The sequence below is a fragment of the Homo sapiens genome, chromosome 9 (assembly GCF_000001405.40).
Source record: "Homo sapiens chromosome 9, GRCh38.p14 Primary Assembly".
Lineage (NCBI taxonomy): Eukaryota > Metazoa > Chordata > Mammalia > Primates > Hominidae > Homo > Homo sapiens.
In genome coordinates, this window is record NC_000009.12 from 108,985,554 (window position 1) to 109,010,695 (window position 25,142).

Here is a 25,142-nt window from a genome sequence, read left to right on the forward strand (position 1 = left end):
TTTAATAAAAGATAGAGATGGAATTACAAATAGTGTACGACAAAGTGCATATAACCCCAAAGCTAATGCAGATCACATCCCAAAGAACTGTGTCCTATATGTGAGTATCATCCATCATGGGTACCTATCAGATAAAGGCTGAGGTTGCTTATAAAATTTCCACCCATTCCTCTTGTCTTTAACATTTTGGACAGGACTCCTTTCAAAACCACCTGTGGGTCTAGCTGACAATGCATCAAGTGTGTATGCCATACCTGACACTTACAAGCCACATATGACACCATAGGCTGTATGGTGATAACAAGCGACAGAAAAAGATGGCATCTCAACCTGGAAAGGGCTGGTCCACAGGACAAAACAGAGGCGTCCATAAAACCCAGATGGTCCATGAAGCACTAAGCGAAGCATCCCAATACCTCCAGAAGTATTTTCCCAGACTTGGGTAAGGCTGTCACTACTGCCACTTTCTTTTTTTTTTTAATTATTATTATACTTTAAGTTTTAGGGTACATGTGCACAATGTGCATGTTAGTTACATATGTATACATGTGCCATGCTGGTGTGCTGCACCCATTAACTCGTCATTTAGCATTAGGTATATCTCCTAATGCTATCCCTCCCCCCTCCCCGCACCCCACAACAGTCCCCAGAGTGTGATATTCCCCTTCCTGTGTCCATGTGTTCTCATTGTTCAATTCCCATCTATGAGTGAGAACATGCAGTGTTTGGTTTTTTGTCCTTGCGATAGTTTACTGAGAATGATGATTTCCAATTTCATCCATGTCCCTACAAAGGACATGAACTCATCATTTTTTATGGCTGCATAGTATTCCATGGTGTATATGTGCCACATTTTCTTAATCCAGTCTATCATTGTTGGACATTTGGGTTGGTTCCAAGTCTTTGCTATTGTGAATAGTGCCACAATAAACATACGTGTGCATGTGTCTTTACAGCAGCATGATTTATAGTCGTTTGGGTATATACCCAGTAATGGGATGGCTGGGTCAAATGGTATTTCTAGTTCTAGATCCCTGAGGAATCGCCACACTGACTTCCACAATGGTTGAACTAGTTTACAGTCCCACCAACAGTGTAAAAGTGCTCCTATTTCTCCACATCCTCTCCAGCACCTGTTGTTTCCTGACTTTTTAATGATTGCCATTCTAACTGGTGTGAGATGGTATCTCATTGTGGTTTTGATTTGCATTTCTCTGATGGCCAGTGATGATAAGCATTTTTTCATGTGTCTTTTGGCTGCATAAATGTCTTCTTTTGAGAAGTGTCTGTTCATATCCTTTGCCCACTTTTTGATGGGGTTGTTTGTTTTTTTCTTGTAAATTTGTTTGAGTTCATTGTAGATTCTGTATATTAGCCCTTTGTCAGATGAGTAGGTTGCGAAAATTTTCTCCCAATTTGTAGGTTGCCTGTTCACTGTGATGGTAGTTTCTTTTGCTGTGCAGAAGCTCTTTAGTTTAATTAGATCCCATTTGTCAATGTTGGCTTTTGTTGCCATTGCTTTTGGTGTTTTAGACATGAAGTCCTTGCCCATGCCTATGTCCTGAACGGTAATGCCTAGGTTTTCTTCTAGGGTTTTTATGGTTTTAGGTCTAACGTTTAAGTCTTTAATCCGTCTTGAATTAATTTTTGTATAAGGTGTAAGGAAGGGATCCAGTTTCAGCTTTCTACATATGGCTAGCCAGTTTTCCCAGCACCATTTATTAAATAGGGAATCCTTTCCCCATTGCTTGTTTTTCTCAGGTTTGTCAAAGATCAGATAGTTGTAGATATGCAGCATTATTTCTGAGGGCTCTGTTCTGTTCCATTGATCTATATCTCTGTTTTGGCACCAGTACCATACTGTTTTGGTTACTGTAGCCTTGTAGTATAGTTTGAAGTCAGGTATTGTGATGCCTCCAGCTTTGTTCTTTTGGCTTAGGATTGACTTGGCAATGCGGGCTCTTTTTTGGTTCCATATGAACTTTAAAGTAGTTTTTTCCAATTCTGTGAAGAAAGTCATTGGTAGCTTGATGGGGATGGCATTGAATCTATAAATTACCTTGGGCAGTATGGCCATTTTCAAGATATTGATTCTTCCTACCCATGAGCATGGAATGTTCTTCCATTTGTTTGTATCCTCTTTTATTTCATTGAGCAGTGGTTTGTAGTTCTCCTTGAAGAGGTCCTTCACGTCCCTTGTAGTTGGATTCCTAAGTATTTTATTCTCTTTGAAGCAATTGTGAATGGGAGTTCACTCATGATTTGGCTCTCTGTTTGTCTGTTATTGGTGTATAAGAATGCTTGTGATTTTTGCACATTGATTTTGTATCCTGAGGCTTTGCTGAAGTTGCTTATCAGCTTAAGGAGATTTTGGGCTGAGACAGTGGGGTTTTCTAGATATACAATCATGTCATCTGCAAACAGGGACAATTTGACTTCCTCTTTTCCTAATTGAACACCCTTTATTTCCTTCTCCTGCCTAATTGCCCTGGCCAGAACTTCCAACACTATGTTGAATAGGAGTCACCACTGCCACTTTCTTTTCCTTTTGAGACAGTCTCCCTCCCTTGCCCAGGCTGGAGCGCAGTGGCGTGATCTCAGCTCACTGCAGCCTCTGCTTCCCAGGTTCAAGTAATTCTTGTGCCTCAGCCTCCTGAGTAGCTGGGATTACAGGCACATGCCACCACACTCAGCTAATTTCTGTATTTTTAGAAGAGATGGGGTTTCATCATGTTGGCCAGGCTGGTCTCAAACTCCTGACCTCAGGTGATCCACCCACCTCAGCCTCCCAAAGTGCTGGGATTACAGGCATGAGCCACCATGCCCAGCCTCACCACTGCCACTTTCTACCACCTTGGTCCAGGTCACCATCATCTCTCAATAGATTACTGTAATAGCCTCTTGAGTGGTCTCCCTGCCTCTGCCCTTGTCTCCATGCAAACTATTCTCAACATGGCAGCTAGAGTGATACTGTTAAAATGTAAGTCAGAAAACGTCATTCTCCTACTCAAAACCTCCAATGGCTCCCCATTTTACTTAAAGCCAAAGTCCTTACACAGTTTGGCCTGCCCACTACCTCTCTGATTTCATCTTATTACCCTTCCCGTTTGCTCACTTTGATCCATCCATTGGCCTTCGTGTTCTTTGAACACACCATGCATGTTTCTGTTTTATTGTCTATCTCCTCCCACCCCTACTAAAACATAAGCTCCATGAGTGCAGAGGTTTTTGTCACTTTTATTTACTGTTGAATCCTCAACACCTAGTGTAGTATTTGGTTAACAGTAAGCAGCTGATGAATATTTGCTGAGAAAACTGAGAATGCACCTGACCTATAGCTCTTTGCAGGATATTTTGACTATTCTAAAGGAGAAAGCATTTGAACCCTGGATGCATATTCCAAAAAAGTGACCCAGGAGTAGCACTTATCAAACACAGATGATAAAAAGGCTGCCAGTAAGTTTCAGGGGTCCCACATTTAATGAGCTAAATTGCTAAAAATAGATACCACTTCAGCCAGAAGTTTTTAAATGTTGGATCACAATATTACAAGAATTGAGAAAAATAAAATGTTCTCCATGCCAAATTTCTAACTACAAATCAAAATGATGGTGAAAGTTTTTCAGTTATGTCCAGAAGCTGAAGAGGATCCTGTAGGAAGTGTAACTGAAGGATGGTAGCTTTAGAACCTATGACTCATGCCACGCTTGCTCAAGTGATCAAGAAAATGCTAGATTATAAGCTACTATTATTATAAAAATACTCAGGCTAATAATTATCATTGGGGAGAATGAGGAGAAGAAGGAAGATTAAGAGAAAGAGAAGGAAAAGAAAGAAAATTTGTTTTATAAAGAACAATAATGGCAGACAGAAAATGAAACAATAAAGTACCTGCCTATAGAAACACCATTGGTATTACAAACCAATGCCATTATTTAGCCTGCCACTTGCCAGACCAATACCCATTTTTCAACTCCAGCTGCAATTGGGAAAGTTCATATCAAAAACTGAGAGACTAGCCTATGGGACTACACCCAGAACCATCCCAAGAAATGGTCAATTATTATATATATTTAACCTGCCAACAAGACAGACTCCTACACAAATACCCCAACAAGGAAAAGTCAATCCTAGACATAATATGATCTTCCATCTCCCAAAACTGAGGAGCTTACTGTCTGAATTGGGGAACAGACCCATAAGGAACTAATATTGGCTGGGCACGGTGATTCACGCCTGTAATCCCAGCACTTTGGGAGGCTGAGGCGGGCGGATCACCTGAGATTAGGAGTTCGAGACCAGCCTGGCCAACATGGTGAAACCCTGTCTCTACTAAAAATACAAAAAGTTAGCTGGGCGTGGTGGTGCATGCCTGTAGTCCCAGCTACTCGGGAGGCTGAGGCATGAGAATCACTTGAACCCAGGAGGTGGAGGTTGCAGTGAGCCGTGATCACGACACTGCACTCCAGCCTGGGTGACAGAGAGAGACTCCATCTCAGAAAAAATAAAATAAAATAAAATAAAAAACAAATATCATGTTGTAGTTTGAGAACTACAGACTTTAGAATCAGATATAACTGAGTTCGATCTGCTAGCACAGTGACCTTGGGAAAGTTTATCCTTGTCTCAGGTTCAGTTTCCCTATATGTAAAACAGTAGTTAACAATACCTACCTCATAGGGATGTTTTGAAAATTAAATGAGATCATGTATATTAAGTACCTAACACATAGGCAGTGCAAATAAATAATGGCTTGGGTTATTACTATTAATCTAATACGGTAAGAATAACAAATATCTAACAAGATACTATAAGAATACATATGATGACTCAATTTTATGTGCCTGAGCCCTAGTAGAGGAATCAAATGGAAAGCTTCATAAAAGAGAAAGTAACCAAATAAAAGGAAGAAGTACTTGAGTTGAGCCCTGATAGCAAGTATGACCTTTCCCAGTGTGTGAGGTGGGAACAAAATTAACTGTTATAAATGTACAAAAAAAGACATATAGATCTACTTACTTTATCCTGGCTTATCTATGAAAGGCTTTCAAGACCAAGGCTATAGACTTAATAAGCAAAGAAACCAGTCCAAACAATCCTAACGATCATACCTCCATCCAAACTAAAAAGTATGTATTTATCTGAAGATTGTAAAATGTGATGAATACATACATTTTGTCTATCTCCACTCAGATGTGCAAACTCCACCATTTCATTTCCAAATTGACTGAATATTTGGACAAACTCTTGAAAGCTATTCACTTTCTCTAGTCTTTCCATAGTTGCGAGAACCTGCAAAACAGATAATAATTCATTATTTGGTGAGAGCTACTCAAGAGACTGAGATTGTCAAGGCTGAGTAGAGAGAAGAAAAGGAAAATTCTGAATTCTAGGTGAAAGCTGAGGAGGAGGAGCCAGATAGAAGACACACAAGGGGATGCTCAGAGAAGTAGAAGTAGATTCAAGGCACAGAATTATTAGGGGAATGATTTGTTTATATGATGAGATTTTGAGTTACTTGAAAAGGAAAAGGAAAAAGAATAAAAGAAATGACTACATATACAAAGGAAGGGATCATTTATGTAGCCAAGTCTAAAAGGTGGGAATGGGCAGGACCACAGTAATCAAATCTTCAGAGAACTGGGAAGGGGTGAGGATGAAAGTCAGCACACACAAGCTTTAAGGTTCAGTGAACCAGGATGATAGGAACCCTAACATTCTCAGGAAAGCAGAAGGAACCTCATCATCTTCAGAGTATAGAGTCGAAAGGGAAGTGTGGGACTTTAAGGGTGGGAAAATTAGTCTGGCTCAGTCAGGAATGGGCCATCAGGGGTGAATAAAGAGTGTGTGAATCTGGTAGAGCCAGTGACTAAAATGTTATGTGTTTTCTTGATGTAAGAAACAAAGTAAATAGATGTGAAACATATTTTCAAATACTTTTCTTTAAAATAACATTATTAGATTGTTTTAGTCGCAACAAGATAAGTTAAAAAAAAACACAGATATCCTCTGTTTACTTATTTTTCCTGAGAATATGATGAATATTTGGCATGTTAATCTGCCCTGGCAGCTCAGGAAGTTCAGGCGACTAACACTGATAAGGCACGTTGCCACCACTGTGAGAACCTCCATCTTTCAAAGAGGGGAAGGTTGTTTGTATTTCTCCAGCGCTGCCAGATCCACCTCTCCAATTTCTGATTCATTCAACACTTATCAAGTGGTTTTATCCTCAAATCCTCTAGGACAACTCCTTCCCTGGCCAACTGCTCTCCTCTTTGCCTAGGGAATTATCCAAAGCAAGAAGTGATCGTACATACCCTGGATTCCCAGATGATCATGGAGCATGACCATCATCTGAGAGATTAACTTCTGGACTGGAAGAGTTTAAATCTGTTCTGTAAGTTTTGAGATTATTCAGTAACATTTAGGGACTCTGAGTACAGAAATTTTGTAGTTGTGGATAATTATCATTTCCACTGATTTAACTGTGTCTTAAGTTATATATTGTTAGTCTCTGATTTGGGAGGGAAAAAAAGTACAGAAGAATTCAGTATTTTTATCAACTAGGTTTCTGCTACATACATTATCATAGTGCTCACCTTTTCTTTCCAAATGTTGTACACATTTAAAGCTTTTACCAATAAGCCTTAACAAGTGGATAATGATTCTCTAAGAGGAGACATTACTTGCATTCAAAAGTTTAGGCACAGCATACCCATCATTTAAGAATTGCACATATAGAAGAAACACTACTTTTAAACTACAGACAGAGTTATAAACAATTATAATAGACAAGCATTGCCAAATTACTTACAATTAACCTAAAAAGAACTTTTCTTTTTTTTTTTTTTTAAGCAACGCTCAGACATGCATAGCCCCGGGAGGAACCCAGGGCCACAAGTGCATTCAACGTACAGATGATCAGTGTGTCAATGTATCCTGCATTGCACATTAATTCCCACAGCTAGCTGCATTCTTCATCGACACACAAGCCAAGCAATCCACCACTAAGAGTCATAAAAAGCACTTTGAACAACACAGAAAGACAAAAATACAGCAACATCAGAAAGGTAAGTACCTTATTTCTTGATGTTATTATCTGTTTAATGACTACTCGGTCTGCCAGCAACAACACTTTTGTCACTGAAGAAAGAAGTAATCTTGCAGCCTTTATCACTCCTGTTTTGTCTGTAAAAATTGTGATCTGCCCATCAGATTCCAGATGGTTCAAGTTGGTTATGTCTGTAAGTGCTGCAATTGTTTCTCCTAACAAGAAAGACGAGGGGAGAAAGTTAAACAGGCATACAAATTAAAATCTAGACTTCTCTCTAACCTTGAAGGTAAGGCACAATGAGGAGAAACTCAGCTTTGGAGTCTTACTTCAGGAACAAGAAACGGTTTCACCTTGACGATTGTAGGGATTATCATACGAAGCTTTCTAACCAGAAAATAATAGCACACTCTTAAGAACTGTGACAAATTTTGCCCTCACCCAGTTTGAAAAACATCATAATTTTTGTTTCCAGTGGTAATGCAAACTACACAATCTAAAAGCCTCCTGCCCTACAAGACAGTAAGAGAAATCCCATGAGTCAAAAACCAAAGAATACCCTAAAACCCGAGCAGTAAGCAGGTGCCAAGGCTTGGGCTGGGGCGAGGCCGGGGAGAAGTCAGGGGTCACTGCCAATCTCCACAAGCTGAACGGCCTTGGGTTTTCACCCTTGGGTTTTCACGGATCCTCAGAGAGAGAAAAAAGACAGGGCTTTAGGCCCCAAGGGATGACATCTTCAATATAATGGGGGCCCGGAAAGAACTGTCAATAGGCAAAAAGAAACAATAAGGAAGTTTGTCTGTCAGTCAGCCTGGACTTTGGGTGGGGAAAGTAAACAAAACAAAAGCCTCCCTCCTGAGAATTCAAACCACAGGCTGGCCCTCATTTAGGCTACAGTTTGAATTTATATAAACTTCTTATGATGCCCAGCATAAACCATTCTATTAATTGAACTCCCAACCCTCTAGAAAAATTATCTTCTTCACTGTTGCTATCAAAACTTTTGATTTCTGTAATGGTAATTATCTACTAATAAAACAATCCAAGTATTCTTGTATTATAATACAAGGCTACAATATTCTTCAAACCTCCATACTGTTAAAAAGATTTTTAAAATAATAAACCTTTAACCAACTTATAGTGTTCAAGATCATTTTTTAAAGTCCTAAATATACCTGTGTGCCTAATGGATTGATTTTCTTACAAAAGCCCTCCTGTCAATTCTATTACATACACACAATAATGTGTCAGCTCATAGGCTAAGGATCTTGAGTAAAAAGTACTGGAATCTTAATGGAGAGGCCACAGGGTGAAGTATAAGTCAAGGTTTGGAAAGATCAGTCTGGCAGGCACAGTGGCTCACACCTGTAATCCTAGCACTTTAGGAGGCCGAGGCGGGTGGATCACCTGAGGTCAGGAGTTCAAGACAAGCCTGGCCAACATGGCGAAACTCGGTCTCTACTAAAAAAATACAAAAATTAGCCAGGTGTGGTGGCAGGGGCCTGTAATCCCAGCTACTCAGGAGGCTGAGGCAGAGAATCGCTTGGACCTGGGAAGCGGAGGTTGCAGTCAGCTGAGATGGCGCCACTGCACTTCAGCCTGGGTGACAGAGTGAGACTTGGTCTCAAAAAAAAAAAAGAAAGATCAGTCTAGTAGGAGTACATAAAATAGAATGGAAAGGAAAGACTTAGAGCCAGGCTATTGTATCAATTGTGGGTGTGAAATAGTAGGGACCTTACTAGTATAGTAGCCATAGGAACATTAAGAAGATGATTTGGGAAACATTAAGAAAACACAAAATTAGTACCTGACCAATGATAAGAAGGAAAGAACGAGTAAAAAAATGGCCTCAAAGTTGTAAACCTAAGTTGCTTAAAGAAAATCGAAGGGCATTGGAAGAGAGATGATAATTTTACTGTCAGACAACAGGAGTTTGAAATAACACAGGAATACACCAAAGATAAGTCGCAAGACATGGACTGGTAATGCAGACTTGGATGTCTTGTGTATAATGACAATAGCTGAAGCTCTACAGATAGAGGAATTCTGTGGTAGCCAGCCTTCAAGATCGCTCCCCATGATCCCCACCTACTGTTATTGACAACCTTGTGCTGTCTGTCCCCTCCCACATCATACCAGGGTTGGTATGGTGGAAGTGGTGGTATGTCACTCCCAAGCTTAGGTTCTAAAATAACTGAGGCAGCTGTCTGGGTTGCTCTCTCTCTCTGAGAGAAGCCAGTTGCCATGTCATAAGCAGCCCTTACTACACAGATAACTACGTGGAGAGGAAGTGAGGCCTCCAGCCAACAGCCAGCAAGGAAGTGAAGCCTGCCAACAACCATGAGAGGGAGGCTGGAAGCAGACCTGCAGTGCACTCAAGCTTCCAGGTAACAGAGGCCTGGTCAACACACTGACCGCTACCTCATGAGACACACTGACCCTGAGCCACCCAGTGAAGCCACTCCCTGATTGGTGCCCTCTCAAAAACTGACATAGTAAATGTTTGTGGTTTTAAGTTGCTAAGTTTGGGTTAATTTGTTACACAGAAATAGGTAGCTAATACAGAGTTTTCATAGCAAAGAACAGAGAACAAAAGTGCTTAGAATTAACCTTAAGGCATACAGAAAGGGCAGGAGGAAAAGTATCAGTTTGCATCCTATCATTAATAGCTAAAAGGATAAAAATGTTTCCTCTGATCCTCTGGAAAATGTTAATTTTTTTCTACACCTCTCAACCACAAAGGATACGACATATAAGCCTGCACATATGGCATTATTCAACCTTTCCTTTTTCTGACTAGACCCCAGGCATTTAACTCATAAGTACGTGGGACAGTAACATTTGGTTGGCTCCACCAACATGGGCAAATGCTTTCTTAACATTATAAAGTTGTTCAAAGTGTAAACTGTTCAGAAATCAGTTCCCTAAAAAAGTAACAAAGCTGTCTTACAGCTTCACAGGTATCATTTTTAATTTATTATATGTCATTACTAGTGCTGTGCCTTAATAGGAAAACCCAAGGTCAATCAAACACAAATATTTGTTGAACTTCCATATAAAACATAAATATAAACCTTGCCTGGTAGCCAAGTAAAAAGCAACAATACAATGTAAGAGTTCAACACAGGGAAGTAAGAATAAAAATTAATTATAATAATAACAACTAATATTTATTGAGCACTTACTATGTGTGAAATGATAGATGCATTATATCAAAACACCTCTATAAACCCTAACAGTCTCATTTTATAGATGAGAACACTGAGGTTTAGAAATGTTTAATAGATTGCCCAATATACCCTGCTTGCAAGTAGAAGCACTAGGATTAAAGTCTAGGCAATCTGACCCTAAGACTTTAGTGTTTTTTTTTTTGAGACAGGGTCTCTCTCTGTCATCTCCCAGGCTGGAGTGCAGTGGCACCATCACTGCTCACTGCAACCTCAACCTCCTTGGGCTCAAAAAATCCTCCCATCTCAGCCTCCCAAGTAGCTGGGACTGGAGGCACGCACCACCACACCTGGCTATTTTTTTTTCTTATGTTTTGTAGAGACAGGGACTCATTATGTTGCCCAGGTTGGTCTCAAACACAGCTCAAGCGATCCACCCGCCTTGGCCTCCAAGTGTTGGGATTACAGGTGTGAGCAACTGCACCCAGCCAGCTCCAGTTTTTTATCTACTACTTTATATTAGTTCCCTCAAATGAACACTGTTGACAAACAAAGAAAATGATTCGTAGGGGTTGAGTGGGCTAGAAACATTACAGGAGTGATTTAATGAAGTCTTAAATTTGTATGTGTTAAGAGAAAAAAAGGCTTCTATATTTTACAACTCCAGAAGGCATCATTCTCATACTCTTACCTGAGTGACACTAGGAGGAAGATGACATGTGGAGCCCATGAAACCTGACAGCTTCCAAAATACTCCGTTTATGGAGCTGCCTGGGCGTATGGTACTCATGTCAGTGTACCACGTCCTCCTCTCTCACCTTACACTGGGCACAATGACATGCTACAAAGCCAACAAGGAGCACAGGACTCAGGTTGTCCTTTTGTTTAAAAATACTGTACTCCTGCTTTAATCAACGGTTGTTAGAAGAAACAGTCATTTTTTTATTTCTTTTTTTTTTTAACCACAAAGCTTTCTTGCAAAATGAAACAGTAATATGAAGACCATCTCTACATTTTCTGTTGAATTGTCCATTATGTAATGTCTGTTTCATAAGCACCCACACAATAATTTAGTGTCAGGAAAAAAAGTCTCTCCTCTTACAAGCTGGTTTGCTTCCTTTCAACAAACAATGAGATTATATAACCCTTTGTTTCCCACATTTTGTCTTGCCTTCCAGGAAGTACAAAGATAAATTTCATGCTTAATTAAAATAATAATGTTTGCCAAAGTTTCTGGTTTATTTATTTTCACATCCTATTTTAATAAGTTTATTGAACATGTCTTTTATTGTAAGTGCTTTCACATCCTTTTCTAAAGTAGGAAAAATATAAATTATGAATAGAATAAGGATATCCCCCCCTGCTTCCCACATAAAACCTATTCTCTGTCCCAGTGAATGGCTAGAAATCCAAAAGTCAACCCAGGGTCTTCCCTTTCCTTTAGTTAACAATCTACTTTTACCTATTCAACCACCTTAATGAGTATTTTGTGCACTCTTCCTGCTCTTTACAGCCCTATTACACTGACTTGGCCTAGCTGGTTTTACCACAAAAGCTTCCCTATTAATCTCCCTGCCTTCAGTCTCAACCTTCTCTCAGGCTGTCCTCATTCGTTCACTTCCTCCACACCATCAGAAAGACTTCTATCTAACATAAAAGATCTGTGAAATGTTCTTGTTTTGAAAAAACAAAACAAAACAAAATAACACAAAACAATATGTCTTTCATCTGGCTCAAAATTTCTCAATGACTCCTAGTATGGAATAATAGTTGAAATCATCCACATAACATACAGGACCGTGTATGATCTTGTCCACCCCTCTACATTTACTTGGTTTTATCGCAATCACTCTCCTCCTGCTGATGACCTGCTCCTCCCTCAGAGTTCCTCATCTCAGTAGATGGCACCACCATTTGCCTAGCTGTTCATATCCCAAATCTTGGAGTTATCCCTGGCTCTTCTATCACATCCAAACCATCAGCCAATCCTATCAGCTCCACCCTGGCAATATATTGAAACAAAGCCACCTTTCACCACCTCAAATGCTATGGTCTAGTCTAAGTCACCATCATCTATCACCTGGACCACTGTGACAACCTCCTAACTGGTTTCTCTGAATTCATCCTCACACCCCCTAAAATGTATTTTCTATACAGGAGCCACCAGTTACCCTTTTAAAAATACAAATGAGAACATGTCACTGCCCAGCACAAAATCTCCCACTAATCCCTCATTCCACTTAGAACATAGTCCAAAATTCCCCCAAGTATCCACATAGCTCAGGCCTTCATTCCATTGCAGTCTCTGCTGTAATGTTCCTTCCTTAGCAGGTCTTCCTAATTCCCTATCCCAGGAGTTCTCAACTGGGGGCCATTTTTACCCCTCACGGGACATTTGGCAATGTCTAGAGCTATTTCTGGTTGTCCCATGGAAGGAGAGGGGACCTTCCAGCATCTAGTAGGTAGAAGCTAGTGATGCTGATAAACATCCTACAATGTACAGGTCAACCTCCCACAACAGAGAAGTATCCAACCCAAGATGTCAGTAGCACCAAAGTTAAAAAACCCTGCCCTCTCTAAAACAGCACCTTCATTGTTCTCCTAACTCTTACCTTGCTTTTTTTTTTTTTTACATGGTAACGATCACCACCTGACATTACATATATATTCATTTATGATCTGTCTCCCTCAGCAGAATGCAAGGCCCAAGATGGCAGATTTTGGACTGATTTGTCCATGCCTATCTCCCTATGGCCTAAAAGAATGCCTGGTATATCACCAGCATTCAGTGAATATTTATTGAAAAAATTAATGGATAAATGATACTTCAACAAAGCTGCAGTCCTCAAAACACTCTAGGTTCTCAAAGGCTTCTGTGCTACCATCTATAGAGAACTGTGAACCATCATGAAGTTTGAAGTCACTATGATTTGTTTGCTGTAGAATACTAATGGATACTAATGCTTATTTCCATTTCCTATGTCATGGAAAGTAGACTAATATGTTCTTAGAGAATAGAGGCCACAGCTCCCACTTCTCTATCTCTCTCACATCTCAATGGCTGATGAGGATGGCCGATCACTAACTCTGACCAGTGAAGGAGTCCTATGTTTCAGATTTAGGACTTGATCCAAGCCAAGTGCAGTATTCGCGGAAGCTAATCCAGGCCTTTAATGTCTGAGGCAGACATAATCAAAGAGCTGTATATCTTTATTCCAAATAAATCAATAATTTTTCATCATAACCAAAGCAATAAAAGTGGTATGAATAGTCTTCAAAATCAATATCCACCTACCTGCTTGTTTAGCTTCAATACAAGCAATATTTATTTCTTCTTTCAAATCCCAGTTTTCATTGGCTATAGCTTCTCCTACTTTAACAAATCTTCCAACTGCCAAGTTGACAGCTTGTCCTACACGCTGAATTGCTTGCAGAGTTTTATCAGACTTTTTGGTATTATCTTTATGATTAATAAGCGTGGTGATCTAAAAATAAAAGATAAAAGCAACTTTTATCTCAATACCTTTTCTTTTTTAAGCTGTATCACAAAGTCAAAGAAAATGAAGCCTGGCATACTGTATAGCTCAATAGACTAAATCAATAGTTAGAGATGCTTCAACAGAGACAACCAGCAAAGTATCCTGCATCATTCCTTAAGACAATGTTTCCATTAATTACAACTCCAAGTTCACCTGAGGGCAGTTATCTGGGGCATGCAGTTTATCTGGGGCATACAGTTCCAGAGGCCCTCCAGATCTTTCAACAAATCTTAAGGAGAAAAGTAGAAGCGGATAGATCATTACATTCAGAAAGCCAAAGTACTTCAGGTCTAGTTTCCTCTACTACGACTTCAGATGCTATGAGAGTAGAAACAGCTCTTCTTCCTCTCCATTCCACTCCGTTGCCTACCATGGAGCACAGGCTGTACAAAATAGTACTTGTGCCATACATGTTTACCAAATTAACTAGATACTTTAGAATGAGCATTGTAATCTATATTTCACATTTTGCTAAGTTTTGTTGCATCCGACTCAAAATAAACGAAATACCGAGAGTTTTAACACTTGATCCCAGGCCCTGAAATAAAATACAAAAGGTGACAACTTCAGCTCACTGAAACAAACATAATTCTTCAAAATATCTTAGGGAACTAGTACATGAACTATGCTGACATCTAAGAATATTTATTAAAGAAATGTTGTATGAAAAACATAGATTCCCAACTATTGCTCAATGTACATGTACTAGTATTAAAAGAAGGGGAAGAGAATTACAAGAAGGGGAAGAGAATCACTTCTACTCTTTGTACAACTACTATGTGCCAAGCACTTTATATGTATGTTTAGGTATTAATATTTTAGAATTAATAGACCTAGGTTTAAGTCTTGGCTCGGCGATTACTTGCTAAGTGGTCTAGGGAAATTTAATATCTAAATTTCCTCAACTACAATATTGCTTTTCATCAAATTTTGAATATCTACTATATGCCAGTTCCTAAGGATGTATCAGTGAATGAGACTAAGACAATCCCACCACCATTAGGTTTACAGTATGGTAGAATAGCAATAATTCAGTTACACAAAATATATTTGTTGCACACTATCATATCCCAAATAAAATTCTAGGCAAACCTGAAATAACAATCAACAAGAAAGAAAAGCCCACGTTCCCATGGGGCTTACATTCTAGTGAAGGAGTGGGGGAGAACTAATAATCACATAAATAGGTAAACAAAAAATAAACTTTAATATAACTGTTATGTACAAAATGTTAGGATAGTGTGATATAAAGTATCTGTGTAGCTACCTGAAATTGACTGGTCTTCCTTCTAAGACAAAGCGATATTTAAGCTGAGATCTAAATGATAGCAAAGCAGTCAGACCAGCAAACATCAAAGGATAAAGAGCATTCTAGGAGAAGAAACAGTGGAGGAAAAAAAAAAAAAAAGCCCTTAGGAATGAGCCTCTCCTGTTCAAGGAATGAGGTGAAGTCGGAAGTGGCTAAAGGATAGTGGGTCGGGGGCAAGTTAAAACCAATATCCAAGAGATGGGATGGGCAGGGACCAGCGTGGAATATAGGGTTCTGGAATTGGAATGAAGAATTTATATTGGCTGGGTGCGGTGGCTCATGCCTGTAATCCCAGCACTTTGGGAGGCAGAGGCAGGCGGATCACAAGGTCAGGAGTTCAAGACCAGCCTGGCCAACATAGTGAAACCCCATCTGTACTAAAAATACAAAAAAAAAAAAAAAATTAGCCGGGTGTGGTGGCACATGCCTGTAATCCCAGCTACTTGGGAGGCTGAGGCAGGAGAATTGCTTGAACCCAGGAGGTGGGTGTTGCAGTGAGCCGAGATTGCACCACTGCACTCCAGCCCGGGTGACAGTATGAGACTCCATCTCCAAAAAAAAAAAAAAAAAAAAAGAACTTATATTTTATTCTATGTATTACAGGAAGATACTTAAGGGTCTTTAAACTAGAAAATACTATAAACTCTGTAGTAATTTGAAGCCATTGAAGGGTTTTTTAAACAGGAAAGTGATATAATCTCCGCAGTGGTTTGAAATCACTGAAGGTTTTTTAAGCAGGAAAGTGATATAATCTCTGTAGTGGTTTTAAAACATGTCCACAAATTCTCCCCTCAAGAGGGAGAGCCTCATTTCTCTCCACATGAGTGTGGACTGGACTTGGTGACTCACTTCTAATAAATGGAATAAAGTGAAAATAATGGAGTGCTTCTAAGAGTAGGTCATAGAACACATAGTGACTTTCATCTTACTCACTCACTCACTCTCTGCAGGATCAATCACAGTGGGAGCAAGCCAACTGCCACATAATGGAAGGCACTCAAGCAACCCTATGGAGAGTCCCACAAGGTAACTGAAGGTTCTGGCCAAAAGATAGTGAAGAACTGAGGCTTCATGTCAACAGCTGAGTGAGTGAACTTGAGAGCAGATTCTCCAGCCCCAGTCAAGCCTTTGGATTACTGCAGGCTTGGTCAATCATCTTTATTTTGATTTTATGAGAGACCTCACTCCTGAACCACCAGGTAAGCCACTCTAGAATTAACCCACAGAAACCATAAGATAATGTTTGTTGTTTTAATGCACTAAATTTCAGTTAAATTGTTCTGCATCAATAGATAACTAATACAGATTTTGGTGCCTGGATCTGGGGTGAGGCTGTAACAAAACTTAAAATGTGAGAGTGGCTGTAAAATCGGGCAGTGAAAATTGAAAGAACTTCGAGCGAATAAAAACTAGAAACGTCAAAGAAACTTTGCAAAAGCATGATGACCTTTGAGGAAGCTGTCTTAGTTAGGGCTCCTATAACAAAATACCTTAAACTGAGTAATTTATAAATAACAGAAATGTCCTGCTTACAGTTCTGGAGGCTGGGAAGTCCAGGATCAAGGCACCAACAGATTTGGTGTCTACTAAGGACCCATTCCTCACAAGTGGTGTCTTCTGTGTCCTCACAAGGCTCCCTGAAGCCTCTTTTATAAGAACACTGATCCCATTCATGAAGGCTCCCTTGTGACCTAATCACCTCCCAAAGGCCCCAACTCTTAATACCATCATTATGAGGATTAAGTTCCAACATATAAATTTTGGGGGAATGCCAACAATCAGGCCATAGCAGAAGCGACGGGTAAAAGCTTAAGGAAAAGTGAGAAAAATCTTACCGGAAACTGGAGAAAAGGGGTTCCTTGTTATGTGGTGACAGAAAGTCACCCTCATTAACATGAAAGGGAGAATATATACCGATGAACTGGGAGATCTAACTAAGGAGACGTCAAAGCAGATTTTGAAGGTGCTACCTGGTTTCTTTTTGCTGCTTACAGTAAAATGTAAGAGAAGAGAAAAATTAAAAGAAACACGGATAAATAAAAACAAGCCAGAACTTGCTGGTTTTAAAAATTCCTTCTCCATGCCGTGCATGGTGGCTTACGCCTATAATCATCAGCACTTTGGGAGGCCGAGGCAGGCAGATCACCTGAGGTTGGGAGTTCGAGACCAGCCTGACCAACATGGAGAAACCCCATCTCCACTAAAAAAAAAAAAAAGAAAAAAGTTAGCCAGGTATGGTGGTGCATGGCTGTAATCCCAGCTTCTCGAGAGGCTGAGGCAAGAGAATCGCTTGAATCTGGGAGGTAGAGATTGCAGTAAGCCAAGATCGTGCCATTGCACTCCAGCCTGGGCAACAAGAGCAAAACTCCATCTCAAAAAAAAAAATCTTCTCCAGATGGCACATCATACTAAAATTAACAATGGCTTCCAGGCAAAAATAAAATCTAGGGCTGTGTCAAGAAAGCATCTAAAGATGAAGCTAAGGGTACGACTATAAAATCTTAAGATCTCAGAAAGGTCCAAGGTGTTGCTTCAGACAACCATTCAGGTAAACAACAGATCTCCCAAGAAGCCTAAAGATATTATTCCTCAGCAGTCCCAGGAGAAGCCCAAGTTAAAGAAGAGCATATATCAAAGAGACTTGTGGGTGTGGGCTTTTGTCTAGTAGAATGAATTCAATATGACTCACAGGAGACCAACAAAATTTTTAAGATAATCGTATTGGCAGAAACACTATCAGCTTGGACTAAAAGGGAATACATCTTTGTATGAAAAGAAGCTTTCATACCAGCCCCTGCTCCAAACTTCCATAAGCAGGGAACAGGCTGAGAAATCTACGCAGCTGCAAACATGAGCTACAATTCATGTAAAATAATGACTTAGAGGGCAGAATCAAGAGCCATGAACTATTCCCAGGACTTGAGTCTTAATCAAGGAACTGGCAACATTTGCCCAGGAGGAGTTCAGAATACCATAAACCAGTGGCTCCTATTTTTTTTCCATTTTTGAACAGGACTGTATAGCAGTTATTCTATACTTTCTATTTTCTCATTTTTTGAACAGAAGAGTCTATAGTAGTCATCCTAAAGCTGAAAGACGTTACACTTAAGGAACTACTACATACAAGAAGTCTCTCCTGGATCATATTTGTAATAGATGCCAACATCATGGATTTCCAGCTGATGTTGTGACTTTGGAGAGGATATGGATGGGAAGAGGTTACTTGCAGGTGAGAATAAGGTAAACAATTTGTGTGCAGAGGTTAGACTGTAGGTAGTTCTAAAATATGTCCACAAATTATTTGCTATTCCTCCCTTAAATAGGTGAAGTCTCATTCCCCTCTCCTTGAGTACAGGCTGAACTTAGCTACTTATTTCTAACTAATAGAATAAAACAGTAGTGACAGTATGCTACTTTTGAGGGCAAGTCATAAAGTCACTGTGGTTTTCATCTTTCTTTCTCTCGGTTCACCCTAGGGAAAGACAATTCCCATGTCATGAAGACACTTCACCGGCCAAGTGGGAAGGCTCACATCATGAGCCTAAGGAAACTGATGCTCAAAGGTGCTTATTTAAGGTCACACAGCTAATAAGTGCTAGAGTTAGGATTCAGAGTCAGACATTTCAATTCTAGAGACCGTACTCCTAAACATTACCCTATAATGTCGTACAACAATCCAGTGAAATAGGTTAATATTAATCATCCTCATTTCCCCAAATTGGAAAATGGGGGTAATAATCATCCCTATTTTACAAATGAGGAAGTTGGACATCAAGAAGTATGGGAGAGTTAGGATTTAAATCCAGATATTCTGACTGCAGAGACTAGCCTCTTAGCCACTTAGCCATATTGCCTTCTCTGACTTATAATGTTAGTAAGAAGAGTTGGCTGGGCGCAGTGGCTCACACTTGTAATCCCAGCACTTTGGGAGGCCAAGGTGGGCGGATCACGAGGTCAGGAATTTGAGACCAGCTTGGCCAACATGGTGAAATCCCATCTCTACTAGAAGTACAAAAATTAGCCGGGCATGGTGGTGTGCACCTATAATCCCAGCTACTCAGGAGGCTGAGGCAGGAGAATTGCTTGAACCTGGGAGGCAGAGGTTGCAGTGAGCTGAAATCATGGCATTGCACTCCAGCCCGGGTGACAGAGCGAGACTCTGTCTTGAAAAAAATAAATAAATAAATAAATAAATAAGAAGAGTTAATAAAATAATGAAAGCATTATGTTTAACATAGTACCATAAACAGTTTATTGTAAGTGTTCAAAGACATACTATAATTAGCTATCTTACTTAATCCTCAGGTATTATTAAAGATTAAAAAACTGAGGCTGAGTAAAATTGCATACTTGGCTCATACAACTAATAAGTAGCCTAGTTTAGAATTTGAACCCAGGTTTAAACTGACACCAAATCCCACCTAATAGTCCTTCTTTTACTGGAGGTTTACAATCTTTCCTATTTTTTTTAATTGAAATGTTACCTAAAAGCTCATTACATAATCATGTGAAAGAGTCACGATAATTTTAATTTGGAGAATGACTGTGGGCCATGCTGCTGGGAAGCACAGAACAAATCCTACTGGCACCAGCTTAATCCTTTTCCACACCTGACAGACTCTAGGGAATTGTTACTATCACATGAAAAAAAAAAGAGAACTTGCTCAGCATTGACTATTCCAAGCTACCATCTTGGAAGAGACTGCAGTGGAAAGGAGTTTAAGTTCTTGCTATAGATTGAATGTTTGTGTCCCATTCCCCCTCCCACTCCCCCTCCACAAATCCTTATGTTAAAATCCTAACCCCCAATGTGATGGTATTAGGAGGTGGGGCCTTTGGGAGACGATTAGTTCATGGGGGAGGAGCTCTCATGAATGGGATTAATGCCTTTTAAAAGAGGCCTCAGAAAGCTCTCTCACTCATTTCCACCCTGAGAGAACAGTGAGAAGACAGCTGTCCATGAACCAGAATGTGGACCCTCACTGGATACTGAATCTGCCTGAACCCTGATCCTAGACTACCCAGCCTACATAACTGTGAGGCATAAATTTCTGTTGTTTAAGGCACCCAGTCTATTTTTTATAGCAATCCGAACAGATTAAGGTGATTCTGTTTATTAAATATTTCATTTACATAAAGTTTTAAAATTTCAATTACAAAGAAAAGATCCTGCAATTAAGCCAAAATATGAACTATTGTTCCGTTCCAAAAGACACATTTTGCTTTCACTAGAAGCGCCTTCCCCAGTGCATAATTAGGTGTGGCTGCCTTCCTTTCACTGGAAAGCAGTCTAGGAAATGTTCAATCCAAATATAGTATGCCTTTAAAATTTTATTTAGAGGAACTAAGTCAATATGTAACATTCTTTATTTAAGGTCTACTTATATTCTAAAATTAGTTTCAAATGTTTTAAAAGGTAGGTTCAAAAGTTATACATGTTTATTGTTTATAAACAGAAATGGAAAATATAGGAGAGCCTCAAGAAATAAAAATTACCCATAATCCTACTAACCTCTGAGAATTCTGGCATAATTCTTTCCAGTCTTGTTTTGTACATATAGATACTTAAATACACAGTTTTACAAAATTGAGATTAAACTTCACTTTCCTTATCATATAAAAAATAAGACTAGCTAACATTTGTTAAGCACAACAGTACCAGGCACTAGCCTATGTGTTTTACATGTATCAATTCTTTTAATGCTTGCTTCTCCAGCATCTAATAGGTACATACTATTATTACCCTAATTTTACAGATACAAAATCTGAAATTTGAAGAAGTTAAGTATTTGCCCGAGGTCACAAAGCCAGGGGAGCTACCTACACTCTTAATCACTACACCGTCTCTCTTACCTTCCAGGATTATGTTAAGGATCAAGGAAAAGACAACTAGCAAGAGTGCTTTGTAAATCATAATATGCCAAATACAATCTTAACTATAGTTCTGCAAAAATAGGAATGATATTAAATTGAGAGTCATAACTTGGAGTTGCCCTGACACCAGAGTCTAGAGAACACCTAAATGAACCAGAGAAGAGGGCAGAAAAGGCATCCCTTGGGGAAGAAAGAAGATCTGGTGTACTAAAGAACTCTGCTGTGGAATAAAAGAATAAGAATTAGGGTTTACTTGATAGCTTCTAACAAAGGGTGTCAAGAAGTGCAAAACACCAAAGAATATCCCAGCAGTTAAGGGCATGGACATCATTCTGCCTGGTTTTGAATTCTGGCTCTGCCATGTGACCATGTGGCAAGCTATCTGACCTTTCTGTGACTCTGTGTTCTCACCTGTGAAAATGGAAATAATAATTGTACCCATCAGCCAGGCGTGGCAGATCACACCTGTAATCCCAGCACTTTGGGAGGCCAAGGCTGGTGGATCACCTGAGGTCAGGAGTTCAAGACCAGCCTGGCCAACATGGTGAAACTCCATCTCTACAAAAAAACAAACAAACAAAAAATTAGCCGGGCTTGATGTAAGGTGCCTGGGTGCCTGTAATCCCAACTACTTGGGAGGCAGAGGTGGGGGAATTGCTTGAACCCAGGAGGTGGAGGTTGCAGTGAGCCGAGATCCCGCCATTGCACTCCAGCCTGGGTGACAGAGCGAGACTCCATCACAAAAAAGAAAAAAAAGAAAAAAAAACACGCATGTATTCACATACACAAATCAGCAAAGAGCAGAGAGGGCGCCTTATCTACTCTCTTCATCGACAACATAACTGCAACAAGAATCCTGAAAAGCTTCCAGAACAATGCAGAGAGTAATGGGAAAATGAGGTAGGCTACCTTAGAAATTTAAGGGGTCTGTACAAATAGTGAATAAAGGAAATCTATCATAGACAGGAAAAGACTAGTGGGCAGTAGAATAATATTCCACACCAGGGTGGAGTTCTGTGGCAGATATCCTTCTTCCCTTCCTTGGATAAAAGCATTATAAGACTTGGAGTGGGAGTTCTGACAGGAAGAATAAAGTGATTATTAAAGGAGGTGGGGAGGTACTCTACATAAAATATGCTTGGTTCTTAGCCCAGGGCTTTTCAAGAAAATGTCTGAATTATAAAATATAAAACATATGAGTATATATAACATATATGTGTGGAGTTTAAAGAAATGAAAGAAAGACCTGTGCAGCCACCACCAAGCTTAAGAGAACAATGTCAGTATCTCTGACAGCCCATGTACTATCTGGCTACTCCTTGTCCATATCACTCTCTTGTCCCAAAAGAAACCATTGTCCCAATTTTGTGTTCACCACTCCTTTATTATAACTATTGTACATACAGTATACCCTAAATGATATCTGGTTTAGTTTTATCTGGTATTGAACCTTTATTTTTTTTCACTCAACATTATGTTTTTGAGATTCATCCCCATTGATAATTATAGCTGTGGTTTATTCATTTCAGTGACAGAGTATATCATTATATGAACATAGCACAATTTATGTAAACATACTACTGTTAAAAGACATTTGGGAAGTTTCCAGTTTTGGGCCATCAGAAGTAAAAATGCTATCCACATTCCAATCCATCTTTCTTTTTTTTTTTTTTTTTTTTTTTTGAGACAGAGTCTCACTCTGTTACCAGGCTGGAGTGCAGTGGCACAATCTCGGCTCACTGCAACCTCTGACTCCCAGGTTCAAGCAATTCTTCTGCCCCAGCCTCCCAAGTAGCTGGAATTACAGGCATGCACCACCACGCCAGCTAACTTTTGTATTTTTAGTAGAGACGGGGTTGGTCAGGCAGGTCTCAAACTCCCGACCTCAGGTGATCCACCCACCTCAGCCTCCCAAAGTGCTGGGATTACAGGCGTGAGCCACCACGCCCAGCCCCAATCCACTTTTCTAATAGGTGTGTAGGAGTTTCTCTAGGGGTACTGACTTAGGAGTGGAATTGCTGGGCCACAGGTAATGCCCACCTTCAATTATAATAGATTACAACAAACCATTTTCAAAATGGTTGTAACACGGATATTGCTACCATCTCCACGTTCCTCACCAACACTTATTCTCACTGTGGATTTTTTAGCTTGTAGTTCATTGAGTTCTAATGAAGTTGAATATCTTTTCCTATATCTTTTAGCTGTTTCCTCTTCTGTGAAATTATTTTTTGACCAATTTTTAATGGCTAATCTTTTTATTTTTTATTCATTGGAGTATTTTATTTATTCTAGGTACTACAAATCATTTGTTGGTTATTTGTGTTGGAATCATATTCTCCCACTTAATGACTTACGTTTTCCTTTTGATGAACAGAGGTTCTTTTTTTTTTTTTTTTTTTTTTTTTTTTTGAGACAGGGTCTCATTCTGTCACTCTGTCACCCAGGCTGAGTGAAGTGTTGTGATCACAGCTCACAGCAGGCTTAACCTCCCCAGCTCAAGCAATCCTCCCACCTCAGCCTCTAGAGTACCTGGGACCACAGGTGCATGCCATCACACCCGACTAATTTTTTGTATTTTTTGTAGAGACGGGGTTTCACCATGTTGCCCAGGCTGGTCTCAAAATCCTGGACTCAAATGATCTACCTACCTCAGCCTCCCAAAGAGCTGGGACTACAGGTGTGAGCCACTGCGCCTGGCCTAGGTTCTTCATTTTAAAGAAGTCGAATTTATCCATTTTTTTCTTAAGGTTTATACTTGTGGTATACTAACAAATCCTTTCCCAGCATAAGGTAATGAAGATACTGCCCTATTTTTTTTTTTCTAAAAGTGTTGTGAGCTTTTACTTTCATATTGTCTTTAATCCATCTGAAGTTGACTTTTTACTGGTATGAGACAGAGATCCAATTTCATAATTTCTATTTAGATATCCAATTGTCCCAGCTTAATTTTTTTTAAGTTCTTCCTTTCCCCACTGACCAGCAATGCCAATTGTCATTTACCGAGTTTCCATATATGTGTGGATCTGTTCTAGGGTTTTCTATTCTGTATCACAGGTCTATGTTTTTCAACCCTGTTCTGATACCCACATTGTCTTAATTACTATAGTTTTATAATGAGTCTTGAAATCTGGCAGAGCAAGTCCATCCACCTTGTTTCTCTTCTGCCTAATCTTGGCCCTTTGTGCTTTCATATAAACTTCAGAATTACTTTTATCAAGTTCTACTGAAAAATCTTGCTGAAATTTTCATGGAAATTGCATTAAATTGACCAATAGGGATAACTGATATGTCTATAATATGTCAACCTAGGCTTGAACACAGTACTTTTCTCCCATTTATTTAGATCCATGTTGGCTTTTGATAAAATTTTTAAATTTTCTCCATGAAGTTTGACCACTTTTGCTGTGTATACATAGAGATAGAGCTCTTTCTCTTTATATACATAGCAAAAGCAACATATTCTTAGGAAGCTCATATTTTGCTGTTACTGTTAATATAACTGGATTTTTTTAATAATTACTTTTTCTATTTTTTTTTATTATTTTTTAAAGACAGGGTCCTTGTTGGCCAGGCTGGAGCACAGTGGCGTGATCACAGCTAACTGCAGCCCTCAGCTGCTGGGCTCAAGCCATCCTCCCATTTTTTAGCCTCCTGAATAGCTGAGACTAGAGTAGCTGGGATTACAGGCACCAGCCAGTGCGCCTGTGCCTTGTTTGTTATCAATGTAGAAAAATGCAATTGATTTTAGTATCCTACACTCAGTGAACTTGCCAACACTCCTAATTTTTATAATTTACTTGTAGACTGTTTTGAGTTTTCTGCATAGGTTATTATATCACACTGAGACTTTTGGTTTTTCCTTTCCTATATTTATTCCTTTTATTTCTTCTCCTTGTCATATTACACTGGCTAGAATTTCCAGTGCAGTGCTGAGTAGAAGCATAGCAGGCACCCCACTCTGGTTTCTGGCTTTAAAGGAAATGTTTATTTTAAATTTGACTGTTGCTATGATGTTAAGTAAAAGTTTTCTGTAGATACTCTATCAGGTTAAGGACACTTTTTCCTAACACTAGTTCCCTAAGTGCTTCTTATCATTATTAGAAGCTGAATTTAGTTGAATGCTTTTTCTGCATCATTGTTAGGAAAATACATCTTTTATAATCTGTGAATGCAAAAAAAACTATACACATTTTTCTAAT

At 39.4% G+C, this 25,142-nt stretch overlaps 1 protein-coding gene, 1 long non-coding RNA gene and 1 pseudogene across 7 annotated transcripts in view; 1 reads left to right on the plus strand and 2 right to left on the minus strand.

Moving 5' to 3' along the window:
- The window catches only part of CTNNAL1 (catenin alpha like 1), a 70,923-nt gene that overhangs the window by 42,977 nt on the left and 2,804 nt on the right, over positions 1-25,142 (minus strand). For 4 of the 5 annotated variants that reach the window (XR_007061368.1, XM_005252291.5, NM_003798.4 and 1 more), the window contains exons 2-4: positions 13,514-13,703; positions 7,079-7,266; positions 5,173-5,292 (exon numbers count right to left, since the gene is read on the minus strand). Coding sequence is in view for 4 of the 5 variants with exons in the window: in XM_005252291.5 (XP_005252348.1) it covers positions 5,173-5,292; positions 7,079-7,266; positions 13,514-13,703 (498 nt within the window). In the remaining variant the exon portion in view is untranslated. The remainder of the gene's footprint in view (positions 1-5,172; positions 5,293-7,078; positions 7,267-13,513; positions 13,704-25,142) is intronic. The other variant, XM_017015250.3, reaches the window with a different exon arrangement.
- On the plus strand, positions 198-21,253 carry LOC105376216 (uncharacterized). 2 transcript variants are annotated; one of them, XR_007061724.1, is made up of 7 exons: positions 198-442; positions 6,284-6,397; positions 6,856-7,070; positions 16,017-16,265; positions 18,130-18,295; positions 18,543-18,629; positions 20,927-21,253. It is a non-coding gene; the product is annotated as an uncharacterized LOC105376216 (long non-coding RNA). The 2 variants fall into 2 exon arrangements; XR_007061725.1 differs by lacking the exons at positions 198-442; positions 6,284-6,397; positions 6,856-7,070 and adding an exon at positions 9,355-9,438.
- Positions 6,856-7,016, minus strand: RNA5-8SP3 (RNA, 5.8S ribosomal pseudogene 3; annotated as a pseudogene).